Raw genomic sequence first — 20,417 nt, 5'->3', positions numbered from 1 at the left:
AGCAAGACCCTGTCTCAAAACAAAACAAAACAAAACAAAACAAAACAAAAAAAGTTGCCCGGGCATGGTGGCTCGCACCTGTAATCCCAAGACTTTGAGAGGCCAAGGCAGGAGGATCACTTGAGGTCAAGAGTTCCAGACCACCCTGGCCAACATGGTGAAACCCCATCTCTACTAAAATATAAAAATTAGCTGGGCGTGGTGGTGTGTGCCTGTAATCCCAGCTACTCGGGAGGCTGAGGCAGGAGAATCACTTGAATCCAAGAGGCGGAGGCTGCAGTGGGCAGAGATTGCTCCAGTGCACTCCAGCCTGGGCGACAGAGCGAGACTCTGTATTTAAAAAAATACATACATATAGTTTTTAAAGCATTTTCAGAAGTTTAAAAAATTAGAAAAGAAGTCTGATTTATAGATTATTCCATAGAATAAAATATCTTAAAGGAAGTTCATGAATTGTCAAGAGCAAAAGAGCTAGTCTTTGCTCTACAAAAATGATTTGAAAGGAAAAAAAAGAAATGATTTGCAGTTCTGAAGGAAAACCTATCACACAGAATTAACTCTAATATCAGATTCTATGGATATCAAACAGTCAAGCACTTCTGTTTTTAAGAAATATTTACTGTTTTATTTTACTTATCATTTTGAGACCAAGTCTTGCTCTGTCACCCAGGCTGGAGTGCAGTGGCGTAATCTTGGCTCACTGTATCCTCCGCCTCCCAGGTTCAAGTGATTCTCCTGCCTCAGCCTCCCGAGTAGCTGGGATTACAGGCACGTGCCACCAGGCCCAGCTAATTTTTGTATTTTTATTAGAGACAGTTTTGCCATGTTGGCTAGGCCAGTTTCAAACTCCTGGCCTCAAGTGATCTACCCACCTCGGCCTCCCAAAGTGCTGAGATGACAAGCGGGAGCCACTGTGCCCAGCCTATTATTTGCTGTTTTAAAAAGAAAGGTTAAAAAACAAGAATCAGAGCTCTCACTGCTTCTTCTGCTTATGGATCTTCATTATGTTCAGATGTAAAGGGCTTATTGTGGGCATAACCTCTCCTAAAACCCCCTCAAAAAGACAGTTAGGAATTAAGAACAGAATCAGCTGTGAGAATAAGAACAAGGAGACAATAGCATAGGAAGGATTAAACAAATTTGGGGGGAACTGAAAGCACAAGAAAATACCTGATTTAGAGGGAGAGAATGGAAGCTTACACACCTGCAGTGGGGGTAATCAAGGAGAAGACAACCCAGGAACCATGGAAAGTGGAGGTGAGAAGGAGGCTGAAAACAGAGACTAACAGAAGTCTCTGTTAGAAGCAGTCAGACCCCACAGGGCCTCTCCTTCACCTTGAGAGGACAGAGAATGTTTGTTCTCTAAAGGAAATTAACCAGAAGGGTTCTAAACTCACAATCGCTAGCCTAAAAGAGGAAAAGGTGAGGCTGAAAACATGCAAGATTAGGAGCCTATACACTGAATGAGTGCTGGCCCCTTTTTTTCTCTCCCCCTCAGAATACACCAACAGCCAATTATCAGGCAAGGGACTGAGGAGGCTCCCCAGAAGAACAGAAGCTCCCCAGAAAAAGCACCTAAGATATTAACATCTTGGAGATCACTATTAAAAAACACTAGCTCATCACTCCCTACCCTCAGTATCCTTCAGGGCCTGTCTCAATTGCCCCATTGTTCCTAAAGCTTTCCTCAACCCTGGATGTGATTTTCCCTTGTCTTGGGTCTACAGCATTTGCCTGGAACCTCTCACTCCATGTGCTCTGTAGTTACATCCGTTCTGTGCCATTCTGCCTATAAAATGATTCGCTTCTTCAGGGTGGGAACTCTTGTCTCAGTCATCTCCACCTTCTCCTCACTCCCACCCTACCACATGAGCATAAGAGGTGGTCAAAAGTATCAATTCAGTGAATTCTTCCATCTGCTTAATAGTGGTGAGTGAACATCATGTCCAGAAAACATCTTTGTTCTATCTCTCTTTTCAATGGTTCCTTCTGTACAAGTTTTTCTCAGCTCTCATAAATTGCACAAAACAAATGTGATTCCTTCTATTTCGGCATTTGGTAGACCAATTTATAACAGTTTTAAAACATTTCAAAGGTAATTTAATTGGTAAATGCATACTAACTACGACAGATTTTAAATTAACCAAGTATAACTATTTTATTATTTTTTTGTTTGAGATGGAGTCTCACTCTGCCACCCAGGCTCGAGTGCAGTGGCGCAAACTCGGCTCACTGCAACCTCCGCCTCCCAGGTTCAAGCGATTCTCCTGCCTCAGCCTCCCAAGTAGCTGGGATTACAGGCACCCACAACACCCAGCTAATTTTTGTGTTTTTAGTAGAGATGGAGTTTCGCCATGTTGGCCAGCTGGTCTCAAACTCCTGACCTCAGGTGATCCACCCATCTCAGCCTCCCAAAGTACTGGGACTACAGGCATGAGCCACCACGCCTAGCCAATTTTAATATCAAACTTTAGGTCTGTAAAAAGACCTAAGCATTTTAAATTATATACATATTTCCACCTCTGGAGAGAAAAAAGTCAAATCCAAAATAGTACACAACATATTCTGTGTTAGTTTTCTATTACCGCTATAACAAATTAATATAAATTCAGTGCCTTGAAACAACACAAATGTATTATCTTATAGTTCTATAATTTAGAAGCGCTACACAGGATTGACTGGGCTAAAATTAAGGTTGGCAGGACTGTGCTCCCTTCTGGAGGCTCCAGGGGAAAATGTGTTTTCTTGCCTTTACCAGCTCCTAGAGACCATGGGCACTCCTTTGCTGATGGTCCCCTTCTCCCATCTTCAAAGCCAGGTACTGCAGATCATGTCCTTCTCATATCACATCCTTATAAGCTCCTCTTCTACCTCCCTCTTCCACTTTTAAGGACCCTGTGATTATATTGGGCCCACCTGGATAAATCAGGCTACTCTCCCTATTGCAAGGCCAGCTGATTAACAACCTTCATTCCCTTTTGCGTGTAAAATAACATATTGATAGCTTTGGCTATGTGTGTGAACAAACTGTATCTGTCTTGATGCACCCTGATAAAATTTTCTGAACATATTCATGAAAGCCCAAAGCTCAGGGGGACTCTGGTTCTGAGAGTCAAGTCCCCTTTGCGAGGCTGCACCCACTGCACTCTCTCTAGTCCACATACACTGCCCAGGACACAGATGCCCTACAGGCACACACCCAACCCAGCTAAGAGGAATCTCATTCACTTGGAATAAATTCCTGGTTCTTGGGATACCTTTGTACAAGGCTAGTGCCCTGTGATCCCCCCCAAAACAGACTAAGGACTCTTCCTAAGTAAAAAACACACAATATTCTGGAAACACGCACTGAAAAGCAAAGCAAATCCCTCATTTTCCCCAAACTACAAGCAAGTTTTCATTCCCCAAGATTGGCTTCTTTCACATATTTTCCTCTTGGCTCTGCCCTCCAAGAAAAGTTCAGACTATTGGAGTTATGAAATACCTGACTGAAGACATAAACCAATCTTCCATTGATTCGGCCTCGTCCAGTGACCACGCTGTCTCCAGGAAACTACCAGAAAAATGCAAAAATAAAGGTTAAAAAATCCAAATACTTCTTCTAATGAGTTTGGCCACTATGCCTCAATGAAAGACAAAAACAAAACCCAAATTCCTAAAACGTCAATATGAACAAGGAACATGAAGGAATCCCACCCCACTTTCCCAGCTCTACAACAGCAAGCACAGGGCTACTACTTCATCAATAGGAGTGAATGGCACTGTCATCTTAGGCCTTATGTACCCTCCTAAAAGCAAAACAATCAAGACCCAGGGCCACCACTTCTCTATGCTTACATGAAGGAGGACGTATAAAGAAACACAAGGCAGGGTACGGTCGCTCACGCCTGTAGTCCCAACACTTTGGGAGTCCGAGGTGGGTGGATTGCTTGAAGCCAGGAGTTCAAGGCCAGCCTGACCAACATGGCGAAAGCCCATCTCTACTAAAAATACAAAAATTATCTGGGCTTGATGTCTGCAGTGCCTCTGCAGAGGACTTCAGATAAAAGCCTTATAGATTTATTATTATTCTAGTGGGTAGGCCAGCTGAGCCACACCTAAAAAGTGTTCACACCACCATTTGAACAAATACCTTATTCTTATCAGCAGCCATTCCAAAATCTGCACATCTGTGTTCCACAAACATGTCGCTCTCAACAAAGCTGCCAGGGTCCAGCAAGAGACTGATCCTCTCCCTGGCTGTTAGCTTTCCCTACAATGGAACAAAGATCACTCAGTGATGTCATCACAGACAATTTAGTAAGCAAAGCAAGGGCTGTTCATGGGAGGGCTTGAAGGGCAGATTTGCCCGTTGATCTCAATGCAAGTACTTTCATTCTATCCAACCTGCCCAAGGCAGATAGGTGTTATTAGTAGACTTTAGATGACATGGAAATCAGGACAGACAGTGTGCGCCAGAAGCCACCCAACTGTGGAAGATGAATAAGGAAATAGGACGAGGAAAAGGTAGAGAGAAGTGGGGATAAGGAGAACCTGACCCTGGAACACAATTAATTAGTTCCACAAATACTTACTGGAGACCTAAGGAGCCATAAAAAGAATGCAGAAGCAGGTGGTGGAAACTAAAGCAGGCTTAGTGAAGGATCTGACACAGGTTTTTTCTAGGGAGACCTACAGAAGCACACCTCACCTCACGAGGGTCCCTACTGCTCCCAGCTCCCACCTCAAGGACACGCTACTTCCTGGTTCTTCTCCTGCCTCCTCTGTGGGCTTCTCCTTCTCCTACTATCCTATCCCCTGTTTAGGGACCCCACACCTGACAGTGACACTGTGACACAGAGATGACCCCACAGCAGGGAGTGGCTGAGTAGAAGGGGAGTGGGACACAAAATGCTAAAGAGCTCACTTGAGAAGAGTTTAAAAATGCTTCTTTGGGCCGGGCACGGTGGTTCACGCCTGTAATCCCAGCACTTTGAGAGGCAGAGGCGGGTGGATCACAAGGTCAGGAGATCGAGACCAGCCTGACCAACATGGAGAAACCCCATCTCTATTAAAGATACAAAATAAGCCGGGTGTGGTGGCATGCGCCTGTCTTCCCAGCTACTCAGGAGGCTGAGGCAGAAGAATCGCTTGAACCCAGGAGGCAGAGCTTGCAGTGAGCCGAGATTGTGCACCATTGCACTCCAGCCTGGGCAACAAAGTGAAACTCCGTCCCAAAAAAAAAAAAAAGCTTCTTTGAGGAGATGAGGTCAGAGCTCTCAATCTACCAGGAGCCTCGGCTGGGCACAGTGGCTCACACCTGTAATCCCAGCACTTTGGGAGGCTGAGACGAGCATCGCTTGAGCCCAGGAGTTTGAGACCAGCTGGACAACATGGCAAAACCTGGTCTCTACTGAAAAATACAAAAATTAGCTGGGAGTGGTGGCACGTGCCTGTAATCCCAGCTACTCAAGAGGCTGAGGCAGGAGAATCACTTGAACCTGGGAAGCGGAGGTTGTGGTGAGCTGTGATCACTCCACCGTGCTCCAGCCTGAGCAACAAAGCGAGAACCTGTCTTTTAAAAAAAAAAAAAAAAAAAAAAAAAAAAAAGCTAGCCGCAGTGGCTCACACCTGTAATCCCAGCACTTTGGGAGGCCAAGGCAGGCGGATCATGAGGTCAGGAGATCGAGACCATCCTGGCTAACACGGCGAAACCCTATCTCTACTAAAAATACAAAAAAAATTAGCTGGGCTTGGTAGCACCCACCTGTAGTCCCAGCTACTCGGGAGGCTGAGGCAAGAGAATCGCTTGAACCCAGGGGGCAGGGGTTGCAGTGAGCCAAGATCGCACCACTGTACTCCAGCCTGGGTGACAGGGTGAGACACTGTCTCAAAAAACAAAAACAAACAAAAAAAAGCCGCCATTGCTTGGGCTCCCAAGCTCTCAGCCCCAAGCAAATACCCTAGCCTACCGTCCCCTTCCCCAACAACAACAAAAAAAACCACATACCTCAAATTGGCTATTATTTCCCCCTTAGGAAAGTAGCCAAAGCTGGTGAGGTTGTGTTTAAAATAACAAACAAAAATCAGGCAATCCTATACACTGTCACGTAAAGTAGAATAAGTTTTTAGGAAACCAACTTGGCAACATATATACAGATTTTTAAAATATATTTATACTGACCAGGCACTGCAGCTCACACCTGTAATCCCAGCACTTTGGAAGGCCAAGGTGGGAGGACTGCTTGAGCCCAGGAGTTGAGACCAGCCTGGGCAACAAAGCGAGACTCTGTCTCTACCAAAAAATAAAATAAAATAAAATAACTAGCAGGGTAGGAGGCTGAAGTGGGAGGATCACTGGAGCCCAGAGGTCGAGGATGCACTAAGCCATGATTACACCACTGCCCTCCAGCCTGGGTGACAGAGTAAGACCCTGTCTCAAGAAAAAAAAAAAAAAAAAAAAATTCTGTCATCCCAGCACTTTGGGAGGCCGAGATGGGAGGATCACCTGAGGTCAAAAGTTAGAGACCAGCCTGCTCAACATGGTGAAACCCCGTCTCTACTAAAAATACAAAAATTAGCCAGGTGTGGTGGCACGTGCCTTAAATCCCAGCTACTCAAGAGGCTAACGCAGGAGAATCACTTGAACCTGGGAAGCAGAGGTTGTAGTGAGCCACGATCACTCCACCGCACTCCAGCCTGAGCAACAAGGTGAGACCCTGTCTTAAGAAAAAAAAAGAGGCCATGTGCAGTGGCTCACGCCTGTAATCCCAACACTTTGGGAGGCCGAGGCAGACGGATCACGAGGTCAGGAGATCGAGACCATCCTGGCTAACATGGTGAAACCCCGTCTATACTAAAACTCCAAAATTATAGCCAGGTGTGGTGGTGGGCACCCGTAGTCCCAGCTACTCAGGAGGCTGAGGCAGGAGAACGGCATGAACCCGGGAGGCGGAGCTTGCAGTGAGCCAAGACCGCGCCACTGCACTCCAGCCTGGGTGACAGAGCAAGACTCTATCTTAAAAAAAAAAAAAAAAAAAAAAAAACCTCCATTGCTTGGACTCCCAAGCTCTCAACCCGAGGCAAATACCCTAGCCTACTGTCCTATCCCCCCCTCCCCGAAAAAAACAAAAACAAACAAAAAATACCTCAAATTGGCTATTATTTTCCCCTTAGGAAAGTAGCCAAAGCTGGTGAGGTTGCATTTAAAAAAAAAAAAACAAAACAAAAAACAGGCAATCCTATACACTGTCATGTAAAGTAGAGTAAGTTTTCAGGAAACCAATTTGGCAACATATATACAGATTTTTAAAATATATTTATACTGACCAGGCACTGCGGCTCACACCTGTAATCCCAGCACTTTGGAAGGCCAAGGTGGGAGGACTGCTTGAGCCCAGGAGTTGAGACCAGCCTGGGCAACAAAGCGAGACCCTGTCTCTACCAAAAAAAAAAAAAAAAAAAAATTAGCTGGGTAGGAGGCTGAAGTGGAAGGATCACTGGAGCCCAGAAGGTCAAGGATGCAGTGAGCCATGATTACACCACTGCCCTCCAGCCTGGGTGACAGAGTAAGACCCTGTCTCAAGGAAAAAAAAAAAAAAATTCTGTCATCCCAGCACTTTGGGAGGCAGACGCGGGTGGATCACCTGAGGTCAGGAGTTCAAGACCAGCCTGGCCAACATGGTGAAACTCCATCTCTACTAAAAATACAAAAATTAGCCAGATGTGGTGACACATACCTGTAACCCCAGGTACTCTGGAGGCTGAGGCAGGAGAATTGCTTGAAGCTGGGAAGCAGAAGTTGCAGTGAGCTGCTGCACTCTAGCCTGGGCAACAGAGTGAACTCTGTCTCAAAAAAAATAAATAAACTTACACCCTTTGACCCACTAATTCCTCTTCTGGGAAAATCTACGGAAATGGTCAAAAATTGTTTTAAAAGGGGTGCAGGGCCGGGTGCAGTGGCTCACACCCATAATCCCAACACTTTGGGACGCCAAGGTGGGTGAATCACTTGAGGTCAGGCGTACAAGACCGGCCTGGCCAACATGGTGAAACCCTGTCTCTGCTAAAAATACAAAAAAAAAGTTGCCAGGCATGGTCGTGGGCACCTGTAATCCCAGCTACTTGGGAGGCTGAGGCAGGAGAATAGCTTGAACCTGGGAGGCAGAGGTTGCAATGAGCCAAGATCGCACCATGGCACTCCAGCCTGGGCAACAAGAGCAAAACTCCGTATCAAAACATAAAAATAAAAAGGGGTGCAGGAGGGGGTTCATATTAAATCAGCCTCCTAAGTTAACTTTGGCAAAAGAAAAACAGCTTCTGGAGGCTTCATCTAAACCTAGTAGGATCTACCTGGGAAAGGGCTAGGCGATGTTCCAGGGAAGAATTGAGCAATAGGCCCCAACAGAAAGAGTGTACAGGAGCACTGACAGGCCTTTCCAGAGGATGATCTAACATCTCCCTCAGCCCTAACAGAGTAGGTTAGAAGTAGCCCCAGGGGAGAGAAAGCACTCCTAGCACCACAAACCATCACTAAATTTACATTTCACTCTCAAGTGTCAAAAGGAACTGTTACCTTTGGACCCTTGTCAAATGCGAATTTATGACATCTGAATCAATATTAGACAAATATAGAGCTGTTCAAATCTCCTCACTTTAAGACCCCATCCCTCCCCCAGTGCCTCCCTCATGGTTGTGAGTTGTGCCTGAATACTCTTCATCTGTAAGAGTTTCACTTCTGCACCTTCCCGTTGGTTAATTCGTTCAGCACAACGGTCCAGACTCACCCACCAGTCACGGACACACTGGGCAAGCCTGGTTTCAAGTCAGGGATCACCTCTCCAAAATGGGCCGCCCAGCTTATCTCTGAAGGCCAGCTGGATTCTCGCCTCAAAACCCAGGCGGTGGGTGGCAGTGTTTCAACTGCTCAGTCCAGCCAAACATCGAGAGTAGCCTGCGCACTCCCAGAAAGGCCACCTGCTTCCGACACGTGCCTTTGCTACCCATCAAGGCGAGGCATGCTAAGGCCCTAAAGAGCTCGACCAGGCATTCTGCGGGCAGAAGTTCCACAAGTTCCTGCACGCGCACATCCCCCATTTCATGTTAGTGGAGTATGCCCAAGTTCAGTTTTCCTGCTTCCACAAAGGAGAAAGAACCTACCATCACTCTTTCATGGGGCACGAGAATAAGCACATGGTTTTTACTGAGCGCCTATCATTTTGCTATCTATGGTCTAACGATACACTTGTGAAGGAAGAATTATTATTAAAATGACCCACAGAGATTTAATAAGTTGCCCAAAAGCTTATGTTAAGTGTTGAGCTGGCTAGAGACGAGCCAGATCCGTCTAAATCCCAAGGGTTAAACAGTATGAAAAAGCACACAGGTGCTTCTGCTGGTTATACCCGCCTCCACGAGAAACGCTACAGGTTTTCAAGGTGAACACCCTTGCTCCGGCCCCTCCAGGCACCGTGCGGATTGGCAGGGAGGCCTCGGACGCCGCAAGCCGGGCACGCAGTGATAGGTCGCGGACGCCAGGGGCGGGACTCACTTAGGCCCCTCAGGACTCACTCGCTTGTGCTGCGCGTCAATACGGCGTTGGCCCCCTCCCAGCAGCGCGGTCCGGCGCTTGTTTTCGATGCGTTCGTTAACAGAGGTGGCCTGGCTGCAAAGGCTGCGGACCGCGGCGCGGAGACCGCTCGCCAGAACGCTGAGCCTTGCCCCGACCGCCGCCACCCGTAATGCCGCCGCCATTTTTGCTGTGCCGGCGCGTCCCCTACCGGCGCACCTGAGTACGCATGTGCTAAAGCGTGGGTACGGCGCTTGCGCAGCATCGGCTGGCTGTAGGGAGCCGCGGGGGCTGGACTACAGAACCTGCTTGGGAGTAAGGCGTGAGAGTTCGAGACCCGGTGCTGCCCGAGGAGGGTCGCGCAGAGAAAAAGTACAGGGCCTGCCTGGCTGCACAAAAAAGGGACATAGTCCTTGCTCTTCTCTGACCACCTAGACCCTTAACTTTGTCGTCCCACTTCCTACAGAAAATGATTATAAGATTTAACCAACATTTATTAAGCATTGTGCCAGGTGTTGCTTTTTGCACTTACCATGCACTAGCTTACTATCTGGATTTCACAGATGAGGTAAATCAAGCACAGAGAGATGAGTGATTTGATCAAGAGGCAAGACTGAGGCCGAGGTAGGTGAGCCCAGGAGCCCAAGACCAGCCTGAGCAATATAGTAAGACCCCACCTCTACAAAAAAATTAAAAATTAGCTGGGCATGGCGGCTTGCACCTGTGACCCCAGCTACTCGGGAGGCTAAGGCGGCAGGATGGCTTGGCCCAGGAAGTCGAGGCTGCAGTGAGCCGTGATTGCATCACTGCACTCCAGCCTGGGCAAAACCCTGTCTCAAAAAAAAAAAAAAAAAAAAGCCAAGACTGACAATGTGGTTGGCCAGGATTCAAACTCAGAGACCTATCATTAATATGTGCCAGATAATGAGCACAGGACCCTTAACCTCTAATCAGTAGTTCTCAAAGTATGGATCCCATTAAAGAAAAAACTATTCATGACACTTAATTATTCATGTTTAAGAATGGTAAGGCAAACTTTATTCAGGCCCAATCTGACAGAGGTAGGGATAGAGTTTTGCCATAAGTCAGAGCGATTGGGCTGAATATAGCAAAGTGGTAATTTATAGCTAAGGGGCAGTGTGTGGAAGTCAGTGGATGGAAAATTACTAAGAGGAAACATTGGCGGGGAATCTGGCTAAATTGACCTAACAGGATTCCTGCCCAAGGCAGGTCAGGGTAACTGAACATCACCTGGGGGATGGTGGCGGTATGGGTCAAAACCAGATATGGAGAGTAATCAGATATCAAGAATGGAGGATTCTGGCTAAACTGACTTGGCAAGTTTCTTGCTAAAATGGAATTCCACAAGGAATGACATGGGAGCCCACACTCAGGCCTAGTCAAAGAGAGAGCTCAGAAGAGCCTGACCAATGTTTGATCAAGGAGGGAATCTTGTCAATCCAGCAACTTCAGTATCACCTGGGAGTGAGTTGGAAATGCAAGCTCGAATTCTCAGAACTTACTCCAGACCTTTAAATCAGAAACTCTGGGGCTGGGGCCAGCCATCTGTTTTAGCAGATGACCTTTAGGTGATTCTGATCTGCTTGCTAAAGTTTAAGAACCACTGCTCTAGGAATTTGGAATTGTACTGTTGAGAGCTTGACCATCTGTTTCTCCCACTAACAGGCAGGTCTTCAAGACAAAGAACATGGTTTATATTTCTCATTTTTAGCCACAGAAAACTGCTAAAGTTGATCATGAGCCCTTCCCAGATCCAGCTCATAGCCAGGGCCTTCATAAAGTACAAATTCTGACCTATGACCTTAATGTTAATGCAATTCAACTCAGAAAACATTTTTGAGCACCTACCATGTGCCAAGAACTAAACATCAGTACTGATTGCATTTCCTGGAGTAGTAACAGTTCATCTAGATAGAGAGGGCAGCTTAGAGGCCAAAGCCTCTTGGCTAGGCAAAGCCCACCTGTATCTGTATAACTCCGTAATGGGTACTCTTGACCTTGCATTTGGGTCCTTGCTTTAAAGACTTTACCAACCTAGAGAGGCAGATGGACAACCTAGAGAGGCAGATTGCCTTGGGAGCACAAGAGAGAATTTGAGTAAGGCTGAGTGTGTTGAGGAGAGTTTCTCCAAGAAAGCATCCATATGCCAGGGAACAGAAGCAGTGTGAGCAAAGGCCTGGCATGTTCAGATTCACATACACAGACACACACACATACTTTGTTGTGTTCCCAGCTTTTGGGGAAATGGTGGTAAATGAGACTGGAAAGTGAGAATGGCATTAGATTGTGAAGAGTTTTTTCATGTTCAGAAATTGGGACTTGCTTTTGGCCTGGGGGCAGTTGGACTCCCTTGTCCCACAGTGCCTTGTAGGTTCCTTACATAAAGCACATCTCACACTGTGTTAAGATTGTTTAGCTGTCTTCCTAGACAGACTCTCCAGCCAAAGGTCAGGGACTGCAGCTGATTTGCTCACCACTGTGGTCCCAGCACCTGGAACAAGGCCCAACGCAGAGAAGGCCTTTAGAATGTATTTGTGAAATTGAATCGAGCTAGCAAATAGGCAATTGCATGTGAGTCCAGAGGTTTTCGCCCCCTCCTCTATGTCTTTTCAGGCTCTGAAACCTGCTCAGGTATCATCTCCTCCATGCAGTCTATCCTGATCCTCAGAAGCAAGGAAGTTTTTCTTATTTAACTTTAGATAACCAGTGCTTAGTAGAAAACCCAACACAGGGAGGCTCACTGAACCTAACTGCTTCCTCCAGCTAGTCCTCTCTCCCTCCACTTCTTTCTCACTGTCCTAATGCCCTGCCTATGGGCACTCCATAGTTCTATAGATCTGTAATGTTATTCCTCAGACCTCACATGCAAGCTCCAGCTTGGGGCAGGTGGGTGGGGGTAGGAGGAAGTTGGAGGTAGGAGGCAATTATCCAGTAATTGCCCTTTAATACCACTATGCTCCAGGCTGCTTTCCTGTCCTTAGTCCCCCCGCTGGTGGCTGTGTTTGAGTTTTTTTCTCCATTGTGAGACAGGAGTCACCCTGATCTTTTAGTTTTCTCACTTTCTGAGACAGTAGAGCTGAAAATTTGGAGTCAACACCTGGGTACAAATCTTGCTTCTGCCCTGACTTCCTGGATAACACAGGGTCATTCACCTAAGGATCTCAGTTTCCTCTGTAAAAGTGGAGAGGGGGTGATCTGTGAAACCCTTGTGTTCTGAGTTTGTTACCCATGACATAATAACAAGAGCCCAGTCATTGGTGTTAGACTGTCCTGAGGTTAGTTCCAACTCTGCCAGTTACCTCTGTGTGACTTGGACAACTTGGCCTCAGTTTCCTCTTCTGTAAAATTGGAATAATAATAGTTCTACCTCAGAGTTGTAAGGTTTATTTTTATTTATTTATTTATTTATTTTTGAGACAGGGTCTTGCTCTGTCACTCAGGCTGGAGTGCAGTGGCTCAATCTTGGCTCACTGCAACCTCCCCATCCCAGGTTAAAGCGATTCTCCTGCCTCAGCCTCCCAAGTAGCTGGGATTACAGGCGTGTGCCACCACGCCCGGCTAATTTTTTTGTATTTTTTGGTAGAGATGGAGTTTTACCATGTTGGCCAGGCTTGCCTTGAACTCCTGATCTCAAGTGATCCGCCTGCCTCAGCCTCCCAAAGTGCTGGGATTACAGATGTGAGCCACCATACCTGGCCAAGTTATAAGGTTTAAATGTAAGCAGCTAACATAATGCCTAGCAAATGTGAAGTACTCTTTAAGTGTTACCTAATAGATTACCAGTAGTATCCTGAGATAGTCTTATTTACCAGAAATTTTCATGAGTTCTCCTTAAAGTGAAGGACAGTGATACATTTCAGAGTATTTGTTCACTTCCTTCCACAAGGAGTGAGGATGGATGGGGGACAGTGAGGTGCCAACATTTTCTGGCCATTCTAGGCCAGTCAGTTACAACTTTCAGCAAAGATGAGTGCAATGGTAGGAAGGAGGAAATGGAAGAGGTCACAATTTAGTCTGGGTCTTCAGAGAAGCAATTGCCAAGAGGGGAATTAACATGCAAGAAATCAATTAAGGGGGCCAGGTGCAGTGGTTCACTCCTGTAATCCCAGCACTTTGAGAGGCCAAGGCAGGGGGATCACCTGAGGTCAGGAGTTCAAGACCAGCCTGGCCAAGATGGTGAAACCCCATCTCTACTAAAAAGAAAAATTAGCCAGGCATGGTGGCGCACGCCTATAATCCCAGCTACTCGGGAGACTGAGGCAGGACAATCACTTGAACCTGAGAGGTGGAGTTTGCAGTGAACCGAGATCACGCCACTGCACTCCAGCCTGGGCGACAGAGCAAGACTCCATCTCAAAAGAAAGAAAGAAAGAAAGAAATCAGTTAGAGGAACCACCTGTGAGAAAAAGTGGGGAGACAGTGGGAGAAGCTGGGAGGCCCATGAGATTGCAATGCAAATCTGACCTCCAGTCAGGAAGAGAGGGAAGGAAGGAAGGTGGGTGGGAGCTTCTCAGAATACCGTGCAGTTTTAAGGAAAGTTCAGCAAGGTTGTTGGGGAGTACAGGAGCCAAAGTATTTTTGCCGCAGCTATGCTGGGAGCAGCCCGTGGAAGGTGTAACCTCAGTGCAAATTTCAGCAGTGAATTTCAGAGCAACAGCTGGGGCTCTCAGTTACTATGTTCAGTACAGTCCAGGTGTCTTCTCACAATAGAGTTTGGGGTGGTTAGGAGTAAAGGGAGTGAGAGAGAGGAAATTTGTGAGAATAGCTGTCATCCATGTGGAGAGAAGAGATTTTAAAGATTTTTTTTTATTTTTTGAGACAGGGTCTCACTCTGTCACCCAGGCTGGAGCGGATTGGCAGGATCACAGCTCACTGCAGCCTTGAACTCCTGGGCTCAGGTGATCCTCCCCACTCAGCCTCCTGAGTAGCTGGGACTACAGGTACATGCTACCATACCAGCTAGATTTTTAAGATTTTTGTTTTGCATTAATTATGTACTTCTCTCCTTGGTGTGTGTGTGTGTGTATGTGTGTGTGTGTTTTAACTGAATAAAAAATGAAGTGCTTAAAATTTACGTTTACCTTTATTTTTTCTTTTTTTGAGATAGGGTCTTGTTCTGTTCCCCAGGCTAGAGTGCAGCATTGTGATCATGGCTCACTATAGCCTTGACCTCCTGGGCTCAAGCAATCCTTCACCTAAGCCTCCCCCATAGCTGGGACCGCAGGCAGATGCCACCAAGCCTGGCTAATTTTTTTTTTTTTTTTTTTTTAAGACAGAGTCTCCTTCTGTCACCCAGGCTGTAATGCTAGAGTGCACATCTTGGCTCACTGCAACCTCTGCCTCCTGGGTCCAAGAGATTCTCCTGCCTCAGCCTCCCAAGTAGCTAGGACTACAGGTATGTGCCACTGTGCCTAATTTTTTTGTATTGTTAGTAGAGACGGGGTTTCACCGTGTTGGCCAGGCTGGCCTTGAACTCCTGACCTCAAGAGATCCTCCCGCTTTGGCCTCCTGAAGTGCTGAGATTACAGGTGTGAGCCACCACACCTGGCCCTAATTTTCTAATTTTTTGTAGAGACAATGGTTTCTCTATGTTGTCCAGGTTGAAAATTCACATTGTTATTGCTGAACTGTGTTTCTTTGATGCCGAGATTAGAACCCAAGAGTCCTAGCTTAAATTCTACTTAAAATTCTTATTAAGACCTGGAGCCTAGGCCATGCGCAGTGGCTCACATCTGTAATCCCAGCACTTGGGGAGGCTAAAGTAGGAGGACTGCTTGAGGCCAAGAGTTTGAGACCAGCCTGGGCAACATGGCAAGACATTATCTCTACAAAAAATTAAAATGTTAGCCAGGCATGGTGGTGCACACTTGTAGTCCCAGCTATTCCAGAGGCTTGGGGAGGAGGATCCCTTGAGCCTAGGAGTTTGAGGCTGCAGTGAGCTATGATGGCACCACTGCATTCCAGCCTGGGTGACAGAGCAAGACTGTCTCTAAAAAGAAATAAAATTTAAAAAATTTTAAAAGACATGGAACCTCATTGTCCCCAGACTACACACATTTTCCAAGCCACCTTGAGAAATCCTTATCTTTTCTGACTCCCTGGGCTCTCTGGGAAAGCGCAGGCCGGTAGCAGTGGATCACGCCTGTAATCCCAGCACTTTGGGAGGCCGAGGCAGGCGGATCACAAGGTCAGGAGATCGAGACCATCCTGGCTAACATGGTGAAACCCTGTCTCGACTAAAAATAAAAAAAAAATTAGCCACGCGTGGTGGCAGATGCCTGTAGTCCCAGCTACTCAGGAGGCTGAGGCAGGAGAATGGCGTGAACCCAGGAGGCGCAGCTTGCAGTGAGCCAAGATTGTGCCACTGCACTTCAGCCTGGGCCACAGAGCCAGGCTCCATCTCAAAAAAAAAGAAAGAGCAGAGCTGGTTTGTTCCTTTTTCCAGAGCTGCTTCTAGCTGTTTCTATTTTTTTTTTTTTTTTTTTTGAGACGGAGTCTCGCTCTGTCACCCAGGTTCGAATGCAGTGGCACCACCTCGGTTCACTGCAAACTCCGCCTCCCGGGTTCATGCCATTCTCCTGCCTCAGCTTCCCGAGTAGCTGGGACTACAGGCGCCCGCCACCACATCCAGCTAATTTTTTTTGTATTTTTATTAGAGATGGGGTTTCACCATATTAGACAGGATGGTCTCGATCTCCTGACCTCGTGATCTGCCCACCTCGGCCTCCCAAAGTGCTAGGATTACAGGCGTGAGCCACCACGCCAGGCCGTGCCCGGCCACAGTTTCTATTCTTGCTGAGCTGCTTTTCACTTGCCGTTTTTACCCTCTGTTGGTACCACCCTTTCAGCATTCCCCTGACCTCCACCACATGCCCTCCTCTCCCTTGTCCTGTGATTTCCACATCAGGCTCACTTTTCCCCTTCCCTGTCTTCCACTGCCATTCTCAGACTCCATTCAGAGTCTTCATGCTGATACCCTCTGATTCTATGGCCTAGGAATTCCTTAGCCTCCTCAACATGAAGGGACTTCAACTCTGTTCCACTCCAGCCACCCACACACTGGGCTTTGTAATTACTGAGAATTGCTTCACGTCTAGGAGTGGAACCTGGCAGTTCTCTCTACCACCTCCTTTTCTGCTACCTTTCCCACGCCCTTCACACTGAATCTGGTCCATCCTTTCCGTGTAACCTTTTAATTCCCTCATTCTGCCTACTGGCCTCCCTCAAGCCCTTGAATTTCCATTTAGATCACCATGCCTTGGCCCAAGCCTTCTTTTGGATCACTCTGATTCTGCTAACAGACTGCCCATGGTAGCTGGCAGAACTCACAGAAATTATGCTAGGTATTTTAATTTCCTTGGGCTGCTGTAGCAAATTACCGCAAAGTTAGTGGTAAAACAACAGAAATGCGTTCTCTCATGGTTTGGGGAACCAGGAGTCCAAAATCAAGATGTCTTGAGGGCTATGCTCTCTCCAAAGGCTCCAGGGCAGAATCCTTTCTTGCCTCTTCCAGCTTCTGGAAGCTCTGGTGTTCCTTGTTTTGTGGCATCATGACAGCCATCTCTACCTCCATCTTTGTGTGGCCTTCTTCCCAGTATCCTGGTATCTGTGACCTCTCTCCCCTTTTTCTTTTGTTCTTTTTTCTTTTTTTTTTGAGATGGAGTCTCGCTCTGTCACCAGGCTGGAGTGCAGTGGCATGATCTCAGTTAATTCCAACCTCTGCCTCCTGGGTTCAAGTGATTCTCCTGCCTTGGCCTCCCGAGTAGCTGGGACTACAGGCATGTGCCACCACGCCCAGCTAGTTTTTGTATTCTTAGTAGAGATGGGGTTTCACCATGTTGGCCAGGATGGTCTTGAACTCTTGACCTCGTGATCCGCCTGCCTTGGCCTCCCAAAGTGCTGGGATTACAAGCGTGAGCCACTGTGCCCAGCCTCCCCTTTTTCTTATGAGTCACCAGTCATTGAATTTAGGGCCCATCCTAAATTTAAGATGACCTCATTTAGAAATCCTTAACTTAATTATATCTGCAAAGACCCTATTCCCAAATAAGGTCACACCCACAGATACCAGGTCTTAGGACCTGGACATATCTTTTAGGGGGGCACAATTCAACCCACTATACTAGGTCACCACAGATTCTTGCTGTTCCTTGCTGTTCTCCCCAACCCCATTTCTGCATGTCCAAAGCCCATGTATCCTGTCCCAAACACCATTTCTTCCACAAAGCATGTCCACAATTTCTCAGTTATAAGCACCTCTTCTTCCTCTAAACTCTCATCTGCTTTTTGTTTCTCATTTGTAGCTTTTATCAAGTTCTACATTTTAACAGTGCTGTCTATGTGAGAGAGAATTCCACTTTCTCTGGTTACCTGAGTGCTCCCCAGGTGTCTGGTCACCAAACTTCATGTGGAAATCTTTGGTCTGGCTAGAATCATTTATGTTGTTCCTGCTGACACTGAATATGCAGCCCTGGGCTCTGTACTGTATGGTTCCTGTCTCTCTCTTCTTCCCTAACCAGTTGTCTGTCTTTCTGTCTCTTAGCCTCTCCTTTTCCTCTGTCCTCAACTTAACAATCTGCCCCTTCTCTACTTCCGCCCCTCAGTCTCCCAGCAAGGTGAGCCCTGTGAAGCACAAGTCTGCCCCATGCACACGAGCCCCTCAGGCCACCACTGTCTCCTTATTTTCTTCTCCACCCAGTTAAGTCCTTTGCTTGAGGCTTTCTCCTACCTTCCCTCCCGCCCACTAGGTATCTTTCTCTGAGAACACTCCCCTCACTGTCTTGCTTTTCCTGATGGCATGACTTCCCTTCCTTCTAATACCTAACGTGCCTTCCATCCCACAAAATTACTGCATTCTTCTTTTGTATTCCCGTAGTTTGTTCCTGTCTCTGTGACAGTACCACCTTGATATGTTGCTTTAAAATTACTTCATGGTGGGGCATGGTGGCTCATGCCTGCAATCCCAGCATTTTGGGATTATAGTGCTATAACTCCTGGCCTCGAGAATCTGTTGCAGAATAGCAAGACCCTCATCTTGAAAAGAAAAAAAATTACTTCTTCAGATTTTTTTTTTTGAGACAGGGTCTCACTTTGTCACCCAGACTAGAGTACAATGGCACAAAGACAGCTCACTGAAGCCCCAACCTCCCAGGCTCAAGCAATCCTCCCACCTCAGCCCCCAAGTAGCTGGGACTACAGGTACGCACCACCACACCTGGCTAAATTTTGTATTTTTTGTAGAGATGGGGGTTTGCTGTGTTACTCAGGCTGGTCTCAAATGCCTGAGCTTAAGCGATCCACTTACTTTGGACTCCCAGAGTGCTGGGATGACAGGTGTGAGCCACTGTACCCAGCCCACTTCTTCAGATTTTGCTGATGACCTCACCCTTCCTACCTACAATATGCTCCAATTCCACTTAGATTTATACATTAGCCACAGGCAGTGGCACACACCTCTAGTCCCAGCTACTGGAGAGGCCGAGGGTCGTGTGAGCCCAGGAGTTTGAGGCTGCAGTGTGTTATGATTATGCCTATGAACTCCAGCCTGAGCAACTTAGAGAGACCTTGTCTCAAAACAAAAACAAAAACAAAACAACACAAAACAAAAAATTTATCCCTGGTAATAGAATTGGGATGTACATTTTGAGAATTGTGGTATGCTAGGTTCACCTGGCTGGAACGGTGGAAGATACGAAAAGGGATATAAATTCAAAGAGCCCCTGAACTCACAAGAACAGCTCCAGTCTTGTCTTCTGAATATACTGACTCTAACACCGTGAGGATGCCCTTTCCTATTTCAACCAAAACAGCCTTAGTGATTCTCTCCCTTCTGGATACTGATACTGGGTTACAGGTAAGTCAAAGTGCAGCCAGGATACAAGAAATACTCTTTCTTTTTCCTTTATTCTCCATCCTCGCTTTTCCTATCCCTCTTCCAGCTGCTTAGAAAATTCTAAGGCAAGAGTCATGGCACTAGATTAAGAAATGTTTGTTTTAATTAGTGGCCTCTCTTCTTCTTTTTCTTTTATAATTCCTCCTGCATTTCTAAAAGACTATATGAGTTATGATACTTTCACAATTATTTTTATTATAATGGGTGATTTTGAGCTTTTGGTATGAATTATGCTGTTCTAAAGCAATTGAGGTTAACATCTAGAAACTGGAAACAAATTAGCTATTCATATATGACTCCCCATGAGATTATAAGCTTATTTTGGATAAGGACTCTATCATTTTTATTTCTGTGTTTCCAGTACCCAGTGGTTCCAGATACATGGGGTATTCAGTCATTGAAAGAACTTTCTCTCTTGCTACTCTAGTTTCTCTGTGAAGAGGGGATTATCTGACGCTCAGCTCCATTACTAGAGCCAGCTTCTTTCCCATGAACCATGGGAAACCTATCTAGTTTCCTACGGGTGGTGTTGACATTTAAGATATACTCACTGGGGAACATCAAAAGTAATAAAGATTGCCACCACACCCAGCCCTTTGCATTCTTTTGACCATGTCTTTTAATACACAAACTTTTAAATAAAATAGGTTTTATCTTCCTACCTGACATATGTATTTTCAAGGCTGGGTGCGGTGGCTCATGCCTGTTATTCCAGCACTTTCGGAGGCAGACGGATCATTTGAGATCAGGTGTTCAAGACCAGCCTAGCCAACACGGTGAAACTCCGTCTCTACTAAAAGTACAAAAATTAACTGGGCATGGTGGTACGCGCCTGTAATCCCAGCTACTCAGAAGGCTGAGGCAGAATGGCTTGAGCTGGGAGGTAGAGATTGCAGTGAGCCAAGATTACGCCACTGCACTCCAACCTGGGAGACAGAGCAAGACTCCGTCTCAAAA

The 20,417-nt window shown here is 46.5% G+C and overlaps 1 protein-coding gene across 3 annotated transcripts in view, besides 3 other annotated features; it reads right to left on the bottom strand.

The window, feature by feature from the left end:
• PCCB (propionyl-CoA carboxylase subunit beta) overlaps nucleotides 1-9,768 on the bottom strand; it is a 79,830-nt gene extending 70,062 nt beyond the window's left edge. For 2 of the 3 annotated variants that reach the window (NM_000532.5, XM_011512873.2), the window contains exons 1-3: nucleotides 9,550-9,768; nucleotides 4,133-4,252; nucleotides 3,485-3,553 (exon numbers count right to left, since the gene is read on the bottom strand). In NM_000532.5, coding sequence (NP_000523.2) covers nucleotides 3,485-3,553; nucleotides 4,133-4,252; nucleotides 9,550-9,732 — 372 coding nt within the window. In that variant the 5' untranslated portion in view covers nucleotides 9,733-9,768. Of the gene's footprint in view, nucleotides 1-872; nucleotides 933-3,484; nucleotides 3,554-4,132; nucleotides 4,253-9,549 lie in introns of all 3 variants that reach the window. The other variant, NM_001178014.2, reaches the window with a different exon arrangement.
• Nucleotides 9,263-10,129: an enhancer, noted in NCBI's record as "H3K27ac-H3K4me1 hESC enhancer chr3:135968821-135969687 (GRCh37/hg19 assembly coordinates)". NCBI's record gives its function as "activates a minimal SCP1, AML or CMV promoter by ChIP-STARR-seq in primed H9 embryonic stem cells {active_cell/tissue: H9 hESC(primed)}" and the evidence as "EXISTENCE:reporter gene assay evidence [ECO:0000049][PMID:30033119]".
• Nucleotides 9,294-9,343: an enhancer, noted in NCBI's record as "active region_20585". NCBI's record gives its function as "activates an Ori minimal core promoter by ATAC-STARR-seq in GM12878 lymphoblastoid cells {active_cell/tissue: GM12878}" and the evidence as "EXISTENCE:reporter gene assay evidence [ECO:0000049][PMID:35858748]".
• Nucleotides 9,974-10,033: an enhancer, noted in NCBI's record as "active region_20584". NCBI's record gives its function as "activates an Ori minimal core promoter by ATAC-STARR-seq in GM12878 lymphoblastoid cells {active_cell/tissue: GM12878}" and the evidence as "EXISTENCE:reporter gene assay evidence [ECO:0000049][PMID:35858748]".

The sequence above is a fragment of the Homo sapiens genome, chromosome 3 (genome assembly GCF_000001405.40).
Source record: "Homo sapiens chromosome 3, GRCh38.p14 Primary Assembly".
In the NCBI taxonomy this organism is placed as follows: domain Eukaryota; kingdom Metazoa; phylum Chordata; class Mammalia; order Primates; family Hominidae; genus Homo; species Homo sapiens.
Note: the sequence above shows the minus strand (reverse complement) of the source record. Positions and strands in the feature narration are given on the sequence as shown.